At 50.3% G+C, this 19,140-nt stretch overlaps 1 protein-coding gene across 4 annotated transcripts in view, besides 6 other annotated features; it reads left to right on the top strand.

The window, feature by feature from the left end:
* Window positions 1-19,140, top strand: part of MAP3K14 (mitogen-activated protein kinase kinase kinase 14) — a 53,902-nt gene that overhangs the window by 15,272 nt on the left and 19,490 nt on the right. For all 4 annotated transcript variants that reach the window (NM_003954.5, XM_047436997.1, XM_011525441.3 and 1 more), the window contains 5 exons: window positions 10,984-11,259; window positions 12,444-12,513; window positions 14,385-14,595; window positions 14,704-15,318; window positions 16,800-16,937. In NM_003954.5, coding sequence (NP_003945.2) covers window positions 11,004-11,259; window positions 12,444-12,513; window positions 14,385-14,595; window positions 14,704-15,318; window positions 16,800-16,937 — 1,290 coding nt within the window. In that variant the 5' untranslated portion in view covers window positions 10,984-11,003. The remainder of the gene's footprint in view (window positions 1-10,983; window positions 11,260-12,443; window positions 12,514-14,384; window positions 14,596-14,703; window positions 15,319-16,799; window positions 16,938-19,140) is intronic.
* Window positions 1,741-1,790: a silencer, noted in NCBI's record as "silent region_8619". NCBI's record gives its function as "represses an Ori minimal core promoter by ATAC-STARR-seq in GM12878 lymphoblastoid cells {active_cell/tissue: GM12878}" and the evidence as "EXISTENCE:reporter gene assay evidence [ECO:0000049][PMID:35858748]".
* Window positions 2,561-2,710: an enhancer, noted in NCBI's record as "active region_12296". NCBI's record gives its function as "activates an Ori minimal core promoter by ATAC-STARR-seq in GM12878 lymphoblastoid cells {active_cell/tissue: GM12878}" and the evidence as "EXISTENCE:reporter gene assay evidence [ECO:0000049][PMID:35858748]".
* Window positions 6,003-6,062: an enhancer, noted in NCBI's record as "active region_12295". NCBI's record gives its function as "activates an Ori minimal core promoter by ATAC-STARR-seq in GM12878 lymphoblastoid cells {active_cell/tissue: GM12878}" and the evidence as "EXISTENCE:reporter gene assay evidence [ECO:0000049][PMID:35858748]".
* Window positions 7,972-8,266: an enhancer, noted in NCBI's record as "tiled region #11783; HepG2 Activating DNase matched - State 25:Art". NCBI's record gives its function as "activates a minimal TATA promoter and a strong SV40 promoter by Sharpr-MPRA in HepG2 cells {active_cell/tissue: HepG2}" and the evidence as "EXISTENCE:reporter gene assay evidence [ECO:0000049][PMID:27701403]".
* Window positions 7,972-8,266: a silencer, noted in NCBI's record as "tiled region #11783; K562 Repressive non-DNase unmatched - State 25:Art". NCBI's record gives its function as "represses a minimal TATA promoter and a strong SV40 promoter by Sharpr-MPRA in K562 cells {active_cell/tissue: K562}" and the evidence as "EXISTENCE:reporter gene assay evidence [ECO:0000049][PMID:27701403]".
* Window positions 11,075-11,278: a silencer, noted in NCBI's record as "fragment chr17:43367837-43368040 (GRCh37/hg19 assembly coordinates)". NCBI's record gives its function as "represses an EF-1alpha promoter that drives an FKBP-Casp9 reporter gene in an ReSE screen in K562 erythroleukemia cells {active_cell/tissue: K562}" and the evidence as "EXISTENCE:reporter gene assay evidence [ECO:0000049][PMID:32094911]".

The raw sequence follows: 19,140 nt of genomic DNA, 5'->3' as shown, positions 1-19,140 counted from the left end.
CCACCACCAAAAGAGAACCATTGCTATATGTCCTAGGTATCTGCATTTTTATAAATATCATTGTAATATACCGACACATGTATATAGGGTCGTATTTTAGATATGCTTCTGTATCCTCTTTCTACTAATTTAATATCCCATTTTTCCATATTGTTAAAATGATTTATAAACATTTTTAATGGATGTTCCATGATTTATTTAATAATTATCCTTCCCCTGTAATTAGACTTTTTTGTTCCAGTTTTTTTACTGTTATAGAAATACTGTGAACTTTTTTTTTTTCTTGAGATGGAGTTTCGCTCTTGTTGCCCAGGCTGGAATGCAATGGCATGATCTTAGCTCACTGCAACCTCCGCCTCCCAGGTTCAAGCGATTCTCCTGCCTCAGTCTCCTGAGTAGCTGGGATTACAGGCATGTGCCACCATGCCTGGCTAATTTTGTATTTTTAGTAGAGACGGGGTTTCTCTGTGTTGGTCAGGCTGGTCTCAAACTCCTGACCTCAGGTGATCTGCCTGCCTCGGCCTCCCAAAGTGTTGGGATTACAGGCGTGAGCCATGGCACCCGGCTTTTTTTTTTTTTTTGAAACAGGATCTCATTCTGTTGTCCAGGCTGGAGTGCAGTGGCGTAATCATGGCTCACTGCAACCTTGCACTCCTAGACTAAAGCAATCCTTCCACCTCAGCCTCCTGAGTAGCTAGAACTACAGACACGTGTGACTATGCTCAGCTAAGTTTTGTATTTTTTTGTAAAGATGGGGTCTCACTATATTGCCCAGGCTGGTCTCAAACTCCTGGACTCAAGCAATCCTCCTGCCTTGGCCTCCCAAAGTGCTGGTATTACAGGCATAAGCCACCATGCTCAGCCCTAAACATTTTTGATTATGCTTTTTTCTGTTTTTTTTAATTTGTTCCCTACTTAGATTGCAATTCTGTGAGTTGTGCACACAAAAAGTGGGTATCTTCACTTGCTATGATGCTTTATTGTTCCCAGAGTTCCTTCATCTACATTGTTTCATTGAATGAGTAAAAGGGAGTGGGGGTGTCAGGACCAGGAGGAGGATGAGGATAGAGGAGACAAGGTGCTGTGGGCAGGCAGAAAAGGAGGCCGTTGTACAGTGGAGCTGATGGGAGGAACTTCCTGGGTAGAGGCTGAGCCTTGCCTTTGAAGGACAAGCAGGATGTATGGGGTGGCCCACACAACAGCATGGCACACATGGGACCTGGAGAGTTGAGTAGCCAAGGGGTTGTAGAGAGATCAGACTGGCCAAAGCCAAACCCTATGTTTGGGGAAACAATGGCCAAAAAGATTATGGACCACAGAGCTGAGACTGAGCCCATAAGCAGTGCAGAGCCAGCAGATGTCTTTGAGCTTGAGGTTGTCTTAAGTACACGATGTTTCAAGATTAGCTCAGCGCCAGGGTGGGAGGTCAGAGAGAAGCTGGAAGTGGGTAAGACCAATGCCAATAGAATAGATGCGAGGGAATTGCCCTAAACATCTGAAGGGGCCTTATAGACAGTAGTTTCTGCACGGCTAGGGCCGGCCAGCCATCATCAGGCATGTGGTGGTAATTGCAGGACAGTCAGAAACTTTACCCCATAAATTGTATTTACCCTGCAGTTTGACCTGTGGGATTGGCAGCAAGACTGAGTTTTGTTTTTTTGAGATGGAGTCTCGCTCTGTTGCCCAGGCTGGAGTGCAGTGGCGCGATCTCGGCTCACTGCAACCTCCACCTCTAGGTTCAAGCAATTCTCTCATCTCAGCCTCCTGAGTAGCTGGGATTACAGGCACGCGCCACCATGCCTGGCTAATTTTTGTATTTTTAGTAGAGACAGGGTTTCACTATGTTGCCCAGGCTGGTCTTGAACTCCTGACCTCAACTGATCCACCTGCCTCGGCCTCCGAAAGTGCTGGGATTACAGGCGTGAGCCACCATGCCTGGCCGAGACTGAGTTTTTGAGGGCATGTCAGATTTGTTTCTTTTTAATAATTGATCTGTAAGATTTTAATGATTAATGTACCTTCACATTTCATATCCTCCTTAATGGGAAATGCTTATTCAGAAATTACTCTCCTGGGAAGCAGGCCTCAAGCAGGCCAATGAGTCCAGTTCTGAGGTTCCTCCAGCTGCGTTTCACTCACAGTGCCTGAGTGCAGGCCCCAGTAAGGCCCCTTCCTCCTTCCTCAGACATCTGTTTCTATGTCCCAGGGATCACATGGCCATTCTCCTTCTCCGCCTGAGGGAGAGAGTGAAGCAAGCCTTTCAGAAGCCTGTCACTTGTCAGATTGTTAGCCCAGGCCAGGGTGGGGGTTCTGTACCAATGGCAGGATTTTCTTTTCTTTTTTCTTTTTTTTTATTTTCATAAAGACACAGTCTTGTTATGTTATACATGCTGATCTCAAACTCCCAGGCTCAAGTGATCCTCTTGCCTCAGCCTCCCAAAATGCTGGGATTACAGGAATGAGGCACTGTGCCTGGCCAGTGCCATCTGCCCCTACTCTGCAGCTTCTGCCATCTGGAACTTTACCCCCAAGAGTCTGGGAGGAATGTGGAATTATACCCCGCTCACTCATCTGAGAATTTAAACCCTGGGGGTATATGAGGATCAAGCGTGTGTCCATGGTCTGATAGCTGAACTTCATCTGCAGCCTCCTCTCCTGGGACTGCCTGACTTACGCTTTACTCACTGACAACTTCAAGCTGCTGGTGATTGCTGCATTGACTCACCTCTGTGCCTTACCTTTTGCCATCCCCTCTACCCAGAACACCCTCTCCTTTTTCTTGGGCAGGTCTTGCTCACTGCTTCAGACTCAGCTCAGGCATCACCTCCTGGGCTGGACTAGGTGTCGCTCTGTGTTCCCGTCACATCTGCTGTGTGTCTATCTCTGTCATTGCATCCCTGTATTGTACTGAACTCTTCTGACTTCTTGTCTGTTTCCCCCAGTAGACTGTAAGATCCTCAAGGGACAGTGTCTTCTTCCTCAGTGTACTGCCAGCACTCAGCACGGGGCCCAACACCCAGCAGACCTAGTACATGCCCAGGAACTGCCACGCATAAGATCCTTGCTCTGCAGCTAGACAGGACACTCTGGGGCCAAGACCTTACTCAACATAAAGCCTCAGCCTGCCTCCAGTCATTGGATTTGGAGGCTCTTTATCGGGTGCCTAGAAGTGATTATATCTTTTTGTCTTAAGTATTTTGTCTGATACGAATATTACTTCTTTGTGGTTAATATTGGCCTGGCACATCTCTTTCTATGTCTTTATTTCCAACTTTTCTGGATAATTTTGTTTTGTTTCTTTTAGTCAGCATCTAGCTGGATCTTTTAAAATCCAATCTGGTTTGCTGTTTTGTAATCTACTCACATGTACTGTGGTTAATGACATGCTAATATTTTGCCTTATTTCTGCCATCTTGTGTTTTTATTTTATATTTATTGTCCTTTTTGCTTCTTTTTTCCTCCTTGCCTTGCCTTGTATCAGATTGACAGCATTTTCTATTTTTCCTCCTTTATTCTTCTGGTCTGAATTGTATTTCTATTATTTTAGTCATTACTCTTAAATCAACATACATACTAACTGTAATTTTTTCTAATAAAATTTAAAAGTTGTTGTACATAAAGTCCCCAAAAAGGCAAGGATCATGTTACTTTTTACCCATTGAACAACCCATTTCACCCATCTTCCTTATTGTTGGTGTCTAGATTTTCATGTTTTAAAACGATTTAAACTGGCCAGACATGGTGGCTCATGCCTGTAATCCCAGCACTTTAGGAGGCCAAGGCAGGCAGATCACCTGAGGTCAGGAGTTCGAGACCAGCCTGGCCAACATGGGGAAATCCCATCTCTACTAAAAATACAAAAATTAGCCAGATGTGGTGGCACATGCCTGTAATCCCAGCTACTCAGGAGGCTGAGGCAGGAGAATCACTTGAACCAGAATGCTGAGGTTGCAGTGAGCCAAGATTGTGCCACTGCACTCTAGCCTGGGCGACAGAGCAAGACTCCATCTCAAAAAAAAAAAAAAAAAAAAAGATTTAAACCAATTTCTCATATTCAACTGTTAATTAAATTGACCAACATATTGTTTGAGTTCCTGTGCCTACCATTGTTTCTTTTTCCTATTTACTTTTTTCTTTGCAAAGTACATCCTTCAGTGGTTCTTTCAGTGAAGGCAGTGCCACCTTACCTAGAACTCCTGTTTGTGTATGTGTGTATTAGATGTGCATTTGTTTGATTGTTTCAAGAAAATGAAACGACCTGTTAAAACCATCAAGTTAAGTCATAACACATAACATAACAGGATTTAGTGGCGTAACTGAACTAAAAGTCTGACAAATTGATGGCTGATTCAGCCCTGACTTGACAAGACCCCTCATCAGTAAGGGATCTTCGTCTGCTTCCTGTCTACCTGGGCTAAGGAATTATTACCAACAGTAGATGGGCAGATGCTAGGGGTAGTAATATCCACATGGGTAGTAATACTGCTCAGTTCCTGGATGTTCTAGATGCCTCTGCCAACCAGATTTTATTCTAGGAAGGAACTAGAGATCCTTGGGTCCTAAGAGAATGGGCCAAGAGTGTCCTGGCTTGAGCCCTAACTCCATGTTGGATGCTCTAACTGTATAAATTGAGCCTCATTTATTCCTGTAGGTAATGTACCTCTCTAAGCCTTAATTTCTTCATCTGTAAAATTGGAGATAATATTGCCAACCTTGCAGGGTTGGTGTGGAATGCATTAACAAGGCAGATAGAGTTCCTGGCACAGTGCCCCATACACAGAAGACATTTATGGACGGTAGTGGCTATTACATTCCCTGGCACTTGGGAGACACTCATTGAATGTTTATAGGGTGGATGCAGAAGCCTACCATAAAAGGCTTCATTGAGTAGATAGGCCTTAAAGGATAGGTGAGATCTGGGCAGACATTGATAAGGGAGGAAGGCAAGCAGCCACTCCCTATGGGAGGAACAGGGTGGGCAGAAGAAGAGAATCAGAGGCTTGCCCAGTGCTGCCCTGCTCGGGCAAGTGAAGGAATCAGTCTGGAACAAACTGGGGGAAGGGCTGTAGGAAGGGCAGAAAGGGTAGAAAGGGGAGTCAGGATGAGCATGTATGGGGACTTCTGAGTCTGCCTCGCCAGATGGCTGTTTTGCCAGGCCAGCTTGCTCTGCCTGATACTTGCCCTTGGTTCCCTCTTTTTTTTTCCCCTCCTTTTCTTTCTTTCTTTATTTTTCCTTTTGAGATGGGGTCTTGCTCTGTTGCCCAGACTGGAGTGCGGTGGTGCAGTCATGGCTCACTGCAGGCTCAAGCAACCCTCCTGCTTCAGGCTCCCAAGTAGCTAGGACTACAGGCGTGTGCCACCATGCCTGGCTAATTTTTTAATTTTTTGTAGAGATGAAGTCTCACTATGTTGTCCAGGCTGGTGTCAAACTGCTGGTCTCAAGTGATCCTCCTGCCTTGGCCTCCCAAAGTGCTGAGATTACAGGCGTGAGCCACCGCACCCAGCCCAGCCCCGCACTTTGAGTAGGCAGAGGTTTGCCTATTGTGGCCTGGTGGCCAGGCAAGCTGAAGACTTAAAAGAGGAAGTTGGGAGAAGATTGGTTTTCAACCAATATCTTATTAAGGAAGTTGAGTCATTCTACTTCTGCTATTTATCCCCTCTGGGCATTCAGAGAAGGACAAGTTTTTACTTCCAGATGAAATAGTCATGAGAGGGATTTGCCTTGGCCCCTTGTAGACATTTTCAAGCTGGCCCTGTAAGACAGAGTTTTATTTCCCTTTCGTGTATGGAGAATCAAGGCTCCAAGCATTGCATGAACTAGGTAAGGCTCAAGATACCTTGGCTATATGGTGCTGAAACAGAGAAGTCCCATCTTCTCAGTGATGGCTTTTAGTAGCCTGGTGACAGACAAGGGAATGAACATTCATTTAGCCTCTTCTGTTGGCCAGGCAACCTGATTGGCATTTCATGTACTCGTCTTCATTCGGTCTTCAAAACAGCTCTGAAGGAGCTAAGAGAAGAAACTCAGAGAAGTTAAAAGAAGTGGCTAGCTCAAGGTTTAGATGTCGGCTTAGGAGGCAGCAGTCTAGGTTCAACCCCACCTCTGCAACCTGCAACTGCGTAACTTTTGGTGTGCTACTACACTTCCCTAAGCCATATCTTCATGTCTGAAAATGAGATGACAGTAGGTACTTTGTAAGTATCGACAGTTAGTATTCTGAGTTGGAGTTGTCCAGCCCTCAAAGAATCCTGACAGATGGGCTACATTCTCAGAACTAGAAGGAACCTCAAAAGATTTCCTAGGCCGCTGGTTTCCAAACTCTTTTCTTGGAGAACTAGGGATTTTGTAGAGGTCCTCGGTGGATGAAGGGACACTGAGCATGTGGAGCTCCTTCAGCCAGGGCAGCGGGTTCAAATGTGAGTTACATGCCAGTTGCATGCATCTGGTTCTTTTAGTTATTGGGAGATGAGGTATGATTTCATTTGACAAAAATGGTCCCACTGCTCTTCTTAAAAAAAAAAAAATTGTTAAGGCTAGAACCCATAGCTTCTGGTTCCCAGTCTGGAATTTTTACTATGTTGTACTTGCTAAAACAGGGAACTGAATGAAATATGATATATTCTAAAAAGGTTATCATCTGTGAAGATTAACATTTAAAACATTGTTTTTGTATCTTCCAGTGAATCAAAAATTTGTTTACTGTAAACCCCATTCCTGCCCCAGAATCCTAGGAACAGAAATTTTACTGTCAGAGAAAACACCGCTCTCATCACCTCAGAACAGCACTGTCCAATAGAACTTTCTGCAATGCTGGACATGTTCTCTGTCTGCACTGTTGAGTATGGTAGCTAGTGTAACAAGGAAATGATTTTAAAATTTTACCTCATTTTAATTAAATGTAAATAGCCACATGTTGCTAGTGGCTACCATTTTGGACAGTGTCGCCTTGAGTACAGAGCAGGGGTCAGGTGGCAGTCTCTGGCCCTTTGGCATCAGAATCATCCAGAGAACTTGTCAAAAGTACAGATTCTGGGCCTAATGCCCAGTGACTGGTTCAGCAGGCCTAGGAGGAATGCATTTAAAGAACTTATCTGGTTATTCTAATCTGTGGTCAGATTGGAAACTGCTGCATTGGAGAGCTTTTCCTCGGAGTGGAAGAATAGAGCCAGAATCAGGCATTTAGCCCGGCCCTGATTTTCTAGGGAGACTAGAGGAACCTTCTGGGGAATGGCAGATCCTTGGAGAATCTGTTGAAAGCTATGGACCAAGTCTTCCCTGGAAAAATGCAAATTACATTTTTCTCCCTGAATCCATCCTTGAACCTAGATTAAGAACTCCTCATACAGCTATGCCCAGAGGTTGATCTGGTACTGTCCAGATCATTCCTATCCCCCAGGCTTCTCCAGGAGGTCACTGAGGCATCACAGAAGAAAGAACCAACAGTGTCTGTGCATCAGGCCTCAAAGAATATGGAGTGAATTCTGCTCCTTTCCTTTCCTCTTCTGATTTCTTGGGCTTATGGGTGAGCCATGTGGGTTTGGCTGTTGCCACTGCTCGTGTCCTCAACTCTTATGCAGAGAGTAGAGGGCCCAATGCCTTTGGGGCGTGAATAAGCTGAGGAGAGTGTCTAGGCTGAGGAATGAATCAGGAGTTTGACTTGCCTTCAAAGGCAGAGACATAACTGGCTCCCACTTCGTCCTCCCCACACGCTGCAGGAGGGAGAAGGGGCAAAGTGTTAGGGCCATGAGCTGGGGTGACAGCCAGAGACCAAAGTCCAGGGCTGGGAAGGCCCCCTGGCCAGTAGTCCTGGACTTAGTACAGAACCATGATTTTTGTAGACCAGAGTCCAGATAGAATTAGGAAAGGAGGGAGGGAGCAAGTGCATCCGTATGTGTGTGTGTCTGTGTGTGCATGTGTGTGTGTGCATGTGTGTCTGTGTGGGAGGTGGTGTTTGGGGAGAGCCACTGTCAGGCCAAAGTGTCCCAAGAATAGCCTCTTGAACTTGGAGGCTGTCGGTGAGGGTCTGAGTCATGGTGATGTGGCACAGAAAAGCCAGCCACAGGAGGAGCTTTACAGCTCCCAGGCCGTGATTTGTGCCCCTGAGAGGTGAGGGTCAGCCTGTTTTCCCCATGTCCTTCACAAGTTCAGCTGCCATCTGCTGGGTCAGCTTCTCAACAGCCTCCTTGTTACTGTCTGCCTGCCAGGCTGTTGGATGAGTCATCGGGGAACTGCAAAGGAGTCTCTGAGCGTGGCTGCCTCAGCCTCAGCTTCCACTTCTCTGGGAAGAGGGGAGCCTGGTGTGCTCACAGAGGGGCGCTGGACAGCTGCCTACCTAACACCAATATGAAAGGACAACTCTGGGACTCGGGATGCCCTGCACCCCCTCTGGAGGAGTTCTAGCTCAGGATGACCTATCCAGAAGCCTCCGTTGGGCCATGCCAGGCGGAGACAGGCTATCAGAGCCCCCACACAGCCAGATCTCTAATAGCCACGTGCCCCTCAGAGCAGCAACTGCACCACCTGGCCTCATTTTTCTCATTCATCAGGCAGGACTCTCTCTTCCTCCTCAGCATTCGGGATCATCCTGTCTCCAAAGGTTATGGAAAAGCAATCTTTGTCCTTTGAGTCCCTCGTTCAGCCAGCGTCAGTTGCGTGGTCTGTGGCCCCTGTGCTATACACTGGGGAGGCACTGTGTGCAGGGCCCCACCTCTTCCCTCAGGAGCCTGTTGACCAGGGAGGACCTTAGTGTGCCCTCCTGCATTTGCCTGTAACCCAGGAGCTTGGGGAGTGGGCATCATAGCCTAAAGAACCTAGGGTCTGGATCCTGGCCATGTCCTGTCACACGTGGGTTGGGTGACCTTGGGCAAGTCTCCACTGAATTAGGCCTCAGCTTCTTCAAATAGAAATGAGGAGGTCACGCTCACATCGAGCTCCCTGTGAGCATTCCCTACTGCTGTTAGGTTTGGAGACTTTTTGGTCTGTTCTTAAGATCTCATTTCCCCTGGTAAAGAGGCTGAGAACAGTGGGATCGGCTCTGGGCTTAGGTCAGTTTCTTTTTTGGAGGTAGAGTGGGGTGGGGAGGTGTGAGGTGGGATGAAAGTACAGTTACAAGAAGCATAGCCAGCCTTGAAGGGCTTTTGCCTAATTGGATGTCAGAACACCCCTTAGACTTTTTTTTTCTTTTAGAGACAGGGTCTTATTCTGTCACTCAGGCTGGAGAATGCAATGGTGCAATCTCAGCTCACTGCAGCCTCAACCTCCTGGGCTCAAGCATTCCTCCCACCGCAGCCTCTAGAGTAGCTGGGACTACAGGCCAGCTACCCCAGCTAATTTTTTGTATTTTTTTGTAGAGACAGGGTTCCACCATGTTGCCCAGGCTGATCTTGAACTCCTGGGCTCAAGTAATCCTTCTGCCTCAGCCTCCCAAAGTGGTGGGATTACAGGCATGGGCCACCATGTCCGGCCCCCTCAGACTTCTTAAGATCCTCAGGTAACAGTGAGGCCACCCATTCAGCCTCCTCAGCATCTGGCGTTTGGTACCAAATCCAGGCATCCTTGCAGGAAGCTGGAGCTGCTCCAAGTTCAGAGCTAGGAGACCCTTAAAGACAGAGATGCAAGGAACTAATCAATAGTGAACAACAAACCCCACCACACCCGCCAGCCAAGCTGGCAGAGCCTTTCATAGCCATCGAGGTGGGAAGACCAGTGAGGCAGATTCAGAAGGAGGAATGCTTCAACCTAGTACCTCAGCTTCCCACCATCTCATTCAGTCCTCAGGCCTCACAGGGCAAAAGGCCAGAGGCCTTAGAGTTCAGCTTCAGATGGTGTACCTGTCTGCCCCAGAAGCAGAGAAGTGATCCAGGGTTCACAGAGTTATAGCAAGGAAGATGATTTCTGCTGGTAGCAGCTTTAAGACAAACCTACCATCAGAGAGCAGTTATTAAAAATCTGTCTGCATTTGGGACCTTCTCAGGCTGTTTCTAAAGCAAGTCATGCCTGAGAGGGGCCCTGCCCTTTAAAAACTCCCAGCCTTTAAAAAGGTTTCCAAATGGTAACAGTCTCAAATCAGTGCTCTTCTCTTTTTTGCCAATTCCAGTCTGCAGGCTGTTTGCACAGATTGTTGGCAACTCTGGGTTGCTCTTCTTTGCAGCTTCCTAGGGCTGGGCAAGACAGAACCCAGAGAGACGTGAATTCTTATGCTTTATTCTTTATTTCTAGAGGTATAGGTTCGTGTTAGGGCCTTGAATATAAATTCTACTCCTGATGTTGCCTGAATGAAAAATGATACCTAGAAGTTTTCAGCCAATGAGTTTGGACATTAGAGGAGGAAGCATGTTAGTTCCTTCTGGAGAGCCACAAACAGACGCATTGGGCAAGGAACCACGTGCTGAGCACCATTTGCATGCTGAGTTTTAGACTTTGTAGGACACACACACACACACACACACACAGATATCTACCTCCTACTAGGGAACAGAATAGAACCTTGCTTCTCTCCACTTGGAGAAAAGTCGCTGTGGATGGTGTGTGCCAACAGGTCCTCTCCAAAGGCTTATGTGGGGTCAGTGAGGCCATGGTTTTGGAGTCTGGGATTCACCACCCTGTCCTGGGGAAACAAAGTTTGCCATAAAACAACAGAAAAAGATCGAGCCATCATAAAGGCAAGAAAGAGCCAACCCAGACATTTGTGCCACAGCTCTCCTAGAGGGAGTGGGCTGGCATCCTTGCTGGACACAGTGAAGGAGGCTGTTTATGTTGTGGTACTGGGAGGACCGGGGGACTGTGCCGTGTGGAACGTGTAGCTGTTGAGAGGTGGACTCTGTTACCATTGAGGATGTTTGGAGGATGAGTATGTGTGGCAGAGGCACACATAAACAGGCAGAGACCCTTTGCCCCTGCCTTTCTCCCCCAACCCAAGGCTGACCTGTGTTCTCCCAGGTCTGGGATTCTAAGTGACCTGCTCTGTGTTTGGTCTCTCTCAGGATGAGCACAAGCCTGGGAGATGGCAGTGATGGAAATGGCCTGCCCAGGTGCCCCTGGCTCAGCAGTGGGGCAGCAGAAGGAACTCCCCAAAGCCAAGGAGAAGACGCCGCCACTGGGGAAGAAACAGAGCTCCGTCTACAAGCTTGAGGCCGTGGAGAAGAGCCCTGTGTTCTGCGGAAAGTGGGAGATCCTGAATGACGTGATTACCAAGGGCACAGCCAAGGAAGGCTCCGAGGCAGGGCCAGCTGCCATCTCTATCATCGCCCAGGCTGAGTGTAGGGGCCTAGGGTTGTTGTGGGCACGGGGCAGGTGGGTGGGCCTGCAGGTGGGTAGCTGGGCCCAGGGGTTCCCTATGGAGGAGAGAGGTCTGTGTCACTGCTAGATAAGATTCTCATGAGACACAACCAGAGGTCTGTGCCGAGAATCATGGAAAGTGGGGTTGTAAAAGTGCACAGATGGTGGATGTGGCAAGGGGAGACTGTGCCCATCGTGACTGGAGCAGGGGAAGAGAGGTAACAGACGAGCACTCGGGACTCTGCAGAATCATCAAGCAGGCCATCAACCTTCTGCTGTGACCTTGAGCAGCCCCAGTGTCTGGAGAGGCTCCAGACAGGAAAGGCCAGGTCTCCTGGAAAGCCCCACTGGGGCCTGTAGGGCCTTCACCATCTTCCACCTAGAGGTGGCCCCACCCCCAGGAATGAGCACCGTGCTCTTGAGCCTGCTGGGCCAGTCCTGGGGCGGCAGGCTGCTGCAGGGTGAGACCTAGTCTGGTCCTTTCTTCTTCTACTCATGATACCTTATGATGACTAGTAATGGTGGCTTCCCTTGGAGACAGAAACTCCCACGAGGCCTGGGTAGGGCCGGGAGTCCTCTCTCTCCAACGCCTTCCCTCAACCCGGGAGGCTTCTTGGGGTGGAACCTGGAGAGCTGGACAGCCATGCTGTCATTTCTCCACACGCATACATCCTGCCCTCGTCTCCCACTTCCTCCTGGTTGGTTTTTGAGGAGAGATGAGAGAATAAAAACTAAAATACAGAGAGTGACATAATAATTGTTTTAAAAAAATACACATATATCCACACTTATATGTACACACATATATAAATACCTAATAGCTGTTTTTCCTATGAGCCAGGCACTGTGTTGAGCATTTTCTGTAGATCATCTCACTTCAGCTTCATAGGAAGTGAGGCGGGCGCCCTGTGATCCCCATAATATAGGCTTGGCTATTTCAGAGCAGGTGGCTGAGGCCGTGGTCTGCTCTTGACCAGTAAGCTGAGAAGCTGGGGAGAGACAGTGCGGGAAGGAGGCATTGGTGGGGAGGTGACTGCCAGACAGGGGTTGTCTGGAAAGGAGGGGAAGGAGAGGCGCCAGAGGGGATCTCTGTAAAATGTCTCTCCCCTAAGTGCTAAATTCCTATTTTTTCTCCTCTCTGCTAATCCAACTCCTTTTGCTTTAGGTGAGAATAGCCAAGAGTTCAGCCCCACCTTTTCAGAACGCATTTTCATCGCTGGGTCCAAACAGTACAGGTAAGCAGGGGAGACAAGCCTGAGTGGGAAGGTGGGGACTGGACCCAGCGCCCTCGTCCCCAGCACTTGCCTGGGCCGCTCCTGCTGACCCCGGGCTCCCTCCCTCAGCACCTGTGGTTCAGCTCCTGGAACTCACCCAGGCTTTCCTGGCTGAGCCGCTCTCTCAGCCAAATAAGCTTTTCAAAGGCTTTTCACAGCTTGTGGCTGACTGCCTCTGGGCCACATCAACTTGACATTTTATTTTTATTCTCCTCAGAGTCCTTAATGCACCCCCTCGTTTCCCATCAACAGGGAGGGTGCTGGGAACAGAAGCTGCTTCCCACTCTTGCGTGACCGTGAGCGCAGGCCGGGTTGGTGGGGGGGGCCTTCCACTGTCCTCTATGGGAGAAACCTGCTGGTGCCTTTTCTCCTGGGAGATGCACCGAGTAGGGATGCGGGCGGTAGAAAAGGAGGGGACAGATAGACTTGGTGGCCCGGTAGAAAGGAAGCCAGGGTGGGGCTGAGTCTGTTCCCAGGCTCTGCATTCCCCCACAGATGATTTTTTGAAACAAGAGTTCAAGTGCTGGGCACAATGGCTCTCACCTATAATCCCAGCACTTTCTGAGGCCGAGGCAGGTGGATCACGAGGTCAGGAGATCGAGACCATCCTGGCCAACATGGTGAAACCCCGTCTCTGCTAAAAATACAAAAATTCCCTGGGCATGGTAGCGCATGCCTGTAACCTCAGCTACTCAGGAGGCTGAGGCAGGAGAATCGCTTGAATCCAGGAGTCGAAGGTTGCAGTGAGCCGAGATTGTGCCACTGCACTCCAGCCTGGTGACAGAGTAAGATTCTGTCTCAAAAAAAAAAAAAAAAACAAGAGTTCAAGCTAGAAACAGCTCCTTCCCCTATCACCAGGCAGGTTTTGTATCATTGGAGTTTGGAACCTGCTAGTGATAAGATTGTGGGGAGGGCAGCTGGCTGCCTTGGAACCAAGAAATGCTCAGTTTGGTGGGATTCCTTCTGCTGTCCTGGGTGCCTTTTGGCCCAGGGTAGGAGCCTCTGATAGACACACTTCTTTCAGCTGTCCAAGAGAAGCCTGTAGGCCTCCAGTGGTCCCCAGGACTGCCATGAGTCTGCCTTCTCCATGGGGGCAGAAGATGAGGCCAAGGGAGGGTGGCTGAGGCCATGATCTGCTCCACAGCTGTTCTGCAGCAACCCATCTGTTGCCGGGTCCTTTAATACTTGGCAGGGATCCCAGTCCAGTTAGAGCCATGGCAGTGATGAGCCCCGAGGCCAGCAGAGAAGGGCAGGCTCCCCAGTACCAGGCAGCAGCCCAGGCTGTTCACCTTCAACAGCAGCCAGGGACCCCCAGGAACTGTGAGAATGGAGGTGACCAGCCTTACCTGTTCCTCCATCCGGAGGCAACAGAAACAAGCTCTGCTCAGTCAGAGCTGAGAGGCCTGCCATGAGCGTGGCCCCCTCCTAGGAACTCTCCAGGGGCAGCTCACCTTGGAGAGCAGTGAGCGAACCGTGTCTGCTCCCCTGACTCTCCCCAAGAAGTGCTGAGTCTGTACCCCATCACCATAGTAACAAGCACAGCTTCTCGGCAGCTTGCCTTGGGGCCAGACACTGAGCTGGGCTTTTTAAATGAACTAAATTATTGAAACTTCATTTCCACCCTGTATGGCAGAAAATACCAAACCCATTTTATAAGTGAGATAAGTGAGAAAACAGGTTCCTTGGGATTTAGAAACCTTGCCGCATTCACACAAGGAATGGCAACCTGGGATTTGACCTTGGATCTGCAGGAGTCCAGATACAAGTGTCTGGACCAGTCCATCTTCCTGCTTCCTCGTGCTCAATATGCAAATCTGTCCCTTTTGTGACAGCCAGTCCGAGAGTCTTGATCAGATCCCCAACAATGTGGCCCATGCTACAGAGGGCAAAATGGCCCGTGTGTGTTGGAAGGGAAAGCGTCGCAGCAAAGCCCGGAAGAAACGGAAGAAGAAGAGCTCAAAGTCCCTGGCTCATGCAGGAGTGGCCTTGGCCAAACCCCTCCCCAGGACCCCTGAGCAGGAGAGCTGCACCATCCCAGTGCAGGTGAGACCCTCCACCCACTGCCCAGACCCCAGGTTCATGGGGCCTTGAAATTGGAGCCTGTCCCTGGGCCCTGGCCCTCTGTGCTGATAGCTGTGTTTCCCCCCGCAGGAGGATGAGTCTCCACTCGGCGCCCCATATGTTAGAAACACCCCGCAGTTCACCAAGCCTCTGAAGGAACCAGGCCTTGGGCAACTCTGTTTTAAGCAGCTTGGCGAGGGCCTACGGCCGGCTCTGCCTCGATCAGAACTCCACAAACTGATCAGCCCCTTGCAATGTCTGAACCACGTGTGGAAACTGCACCACCCCCAGGACGGAGGCCCCCTGCCCCTGCCCACGCACCCCTTCCCCTATAGCAGACTGCCTCATCCCTTCCCATTCCACCCTCTCCAGCCCTGGAAACCTCACCCTCTGGAGTCCTTCCTGGGCAAACTGGCCTGTGTAGACAGCCAGAAACCCTTGCCTGACCCACACCTGAGCAAACTGGCCTGTGTAGACAGTCCAAAGCCCCTGCCTGGCCCACACCTGGAGCCCAGCTGCCTGTCTCGTGGTGCCCATGAGAAGTTTTCTGTGGAGGAATACCTAGTGCATGCTCTGCAAGGCAGCGTGAGCTCAGGCCAGGCCCACAGCCTGACCAGCCTGGCCAAGACCTGGGCAGCAAGGGGCTCCAGATCCCGGGAGCCCAGCCCCAAAACTGAGGACAACGAGGGTGTCCTGCTCACTGAGGTAACTAATCCCCCGGCACCTGTATATGTCCCTCTACCAGCAACCTGGGGGATGCTTTTCTCTCTTTATCAGAGTCACTCTTGCCTGTGGTGACAAATCAAACAGTAGGACAGTGCTCATTGTGGATGAAAAGTATCATCTCTTATTCCGCCAATCTCACTTCTCACAGCCTTTTTAGCGTCTTCTGTTCTGAGTTCTTCTGGTTGGTCACCTCCTGCTTGCTGAATGTGGGCACTGCATTAATAGTACACATGCTGAGGACAAGGGGAATCAGCCAGGAGCCACTGGAGATGTTATCATGGCCCCCAGAGACGGAAGATGAGGATGGGACCTGTTTTCACCACCCACCTCCTTCCCTTTTTCCTCTTGTTAACTTCCCAAATAATTTTATAACTTTAAATGATTTTATCAAACTTTGATTTCCGGGTTTTATTCCATCCATCCACTTTTTTTTTTTTTTTTTAATAAATGTGTTTTTTGAGACAGAGTCTCACTCTGTCACCCAGGCTGGAGTGCAGTCGTACAATCATAGCTCACTACAGCCTCCGTCTCCTGGGTTCAAGCAATCCTCCTGCCTCAGCCCCCCGAGTAGCTGGGACTACAAGCGTGTACCACCACGCCCAGCTATATTTTTTTTAATAGAGATGAGGTCTTGCTATGTTGCCCAGGCTGGTCTCAAACTCCTGGGCTAAAGCAATCCTCACACATTGGCCTCCAAAAGTGCTCGGATTATAGGTGTGAGCCACTGCACTGTCTTATTCCATCCACTTTTTAATTTTTTAATTTTTTTGTTTTGTTTTGTTTTGAGACAGAGTCTTACTCTGTCGCCCAGGCTGGAGTGTAGTGGCACTATAACAGCTCACTGCAACCTCCCCCTTCCAAGTTCAAGTGATTCTCCCACCTCAGCCTCCCGAGTAGCTGAGACTACAGGTGTGCACTACCATGCCTGGCTAATTTTGTGTTTTTTGGTAGAGACAGGGTTTCACCATGTTGGCCAGGGTGGTCTCAAACTCCTGACCTCAAGTGATCTGCCCACCTTGGCCTCCCAAAGTGCTGGGATTACAGGCGTGAGCCACCATGCCTGGCCCCTCCATCCACTTTTAACATCATCCTTGACCCCCGCCCCTCTTCACTGTTCCTCCCTTCCCTCCACCTTCTAGCTCCTGAGTTTTGTTTTTTCATTGTCAAGGTGATTGGCAGTTCTGTTTCTGTCTCACCATCACAAGTCTGGGATGTTTTTCATCACAAGGATCAGTGGCCGCAGCCCATGAACCCTTCCCTCGCCTTCACTTCATTCCTCTGCCCCCTCTCTGGTGCTGCCCGGCTCAGATCCCTGCCTTCGCCCCAGGGCTGCCTGGTTGTGAGGGCTCAGCTCAGCAGCCCTGGCAAGGTCACCAGCTGGAGAGTCTTCCTCACTGTAGCCCTGTAGCCCTCTGCTGCCCTGGCCACTGAAACTGTCCTCTCTCTCCTGCCAACCCCAGAAACTCAAGCCAGTGGATTATGAGTACCGAGAAGAAGTCCACTGGGCCACGCACCAGCTCCGCCTGGGCAGAGGCTCCTTCGGAGAGGTGCACAGGATGGAGGACAAGCAGACTGGCTTCCAGTGCGCTGTCAAAAAGGTACGCCAGGGCTCAGGGGCTGAGTGAAGAGGGAAGCCAGGAAGGGGGCCTGGTGTGTTCCCTCTGCTTTCTGTCCAGGACAGTCGCAGGGTGGCCGTGGGTCTGACTTGTGAACAGAACTTGGCTATCACTAGCCACCTGAGGTCGGCTGGAACTGGAAGGGAGCAGCCTGTCACGTGTCCTGGCCTGGCTGCTGCCCCTGGCATGTGTGTATGTGAGAGGCAGTGTGAGAGGACACACGTGGCCTCGGTGTCTCAATACAGCCAGGGCCTGAGGGGCAAGTCCCAACGTGGAAGATGGTTGGAGCGTCATGAAATTCACACTGAGGTAAAACCCCTGAACCACATAGGAGGCCGCCCCTGACCTGGGCCAGATGATAGGAAAGCAGTAGCCTCCACCTGTGGGGTGCTTCTAGGAGGAAGCCAGCCTCAGTGGGAGTGGGCAGATCTGCCAGAGTCGGAGCTGTGCCCCCTGTTGGCCAGGCGTGCCACAGTCCTGCAAGACAGACATGTTGGGGACATGAAGCTTGGCAAGACAGGAAGTCACTGGCCGGGTGGCAAGAGCCCTGAATCAGACCAGGTCTGTCTGACCTGAGAGTTCGGCTTTCAACCACTCTTCAGGAAGAAGAGGGAAGAAGATAGACTTCTTGTCCTAGAGTTTTGAGTAGAGACAGAAGACAGGAATCACCCCTCCCACCCCTTCATCTCACTGATGTTAGAAGTGGAGAGCAGAGAGGACAGTGTGGCATGCTGGGCCTGGAGCTGAGGCCTCCTCCTGTCAGATCACACTATCCGGGCCCAGAGGGAGCATCGGTGGCGGCTGCAGACCGACAGACCTTACAGGTGTCGGTCCTTCTCCCTGTCACCAACCTTTCCCCCACCCCCAACTCTCAGATCATCTTGATTGGAAGCCACCTTGTCCCCAGTCAAAGCTCTCGGCCTCAAAGCCAGCACCAGGACCTAAGGCGCGTTTCTGTGGACCATCCCCTTGGCCCTCTGGGCAGGGTGAAGTAAGCTCTGAGATATACCTTGTTTCAAGTGGCTTATGTCAGAGACACTCCAATCCCCGAAAGAAAAGCAACAAATACAGGTAGAGCATCCGCAATCTGAAAACCCAAAATCTGAAGTGCTCCAAAATCCAAAACTTTTGGAGCACCAACCTGACACAGGAAATGCTCACTGTAGCCAGAGCACAAAAGCCTGGCACACGCTGGCTCCATTCAGAGCAGACGCTGCCACCACCGTCCAGGGTGCCTGTGGCCTTAAGGGGAGAGGAGACAGCTGGGATGTGAATAAACCCGGCTTCCCTGGTGTGTACTTGGGCTGGATGGTGAGACCAGTGAGGGGACTATCTGCAGGTACCACCCCAAACTTCAGACACACTGTGTCGAATACGAAAACTCCGCCCTCACCACCCCTGACTGGCAACACGTGCTGAGTGCGTGCTGAGTTCTTGCCGAGTTCTTGCCAGTGTGGATCATCGTCTTCCACTGGGGGAGGCCAAGGCCACGTGCCTGACCTGCTCAGCTGCAATTCCCCTCCCCAGGCTACCGGAGAAGGCTCAGCTGTCCCTCTTGAGAGGTGGTGGGAGGAGAGTGTGAGAGTGTGAAGAGACGCGCACCCAGTGCTGGGAGCTTAGTCACTGGGCTTCTCAGCTGTTCCCCTGCTGAGGGCCTCAAGAGTCCTCCCAGGCAACAAGGTAAACAACCCTAATATAGTGGAAGAGGATAAATACTCCATGTCTCGCCCCTCGCATCCACTGCAAGGCAGTTGGAAAAGCTCCAAGCACAAGGCATGGACTTCTCAGCACCAGAGCTGCAGCTCAAGCCCACCAGAGCTGCCACTCACAGAACCACTTCCTTCCCACCCCGGAGAATGCAGTGGGGATGGCTCTTTGGCAGCCTGCACAGCTGCCATTGGTTGGGCAGACAGCCCCTGCTTTCCCTCAAGGCAGTGGTGTCCTTTAGGGTTTTCAGCTGGAAGAGCAGGAGAAACAGTTCCCTGATTAGGAGATGGGGACCGGGAGGTGGATCAGGCATCAGAGGTCAGGCTGCACATCGGATCAGAGCAAGTCTGTGCCCCCCTGATGCTCCTTGGGGAGAATCCAGTGTGTAAGGTGTCACGTGGCAGTGCCAGCACTCCCTTCATCCTCCTGATCTAGATGCTGATTGGCCATAGGTCCAGGGTTTGATGCAGTTGTTTTT

This window comes from Homo sapiens, chromosome 17 (assembly GCF_000001405.40).
Source record: "Homo sapiens chromosome 17, GRCh38.p14 Primary Assembly".
NCBI lineage: Eukaryota > Metazoa > Chordata > Mammalia > Primates > Hominidae > Homo > Homo sapiens.
The sequence above is the reverse complement of the archived record's forward strand: the minus strand, read 5'-3'. Positions and strand labels throughout refer to the sequence as shown.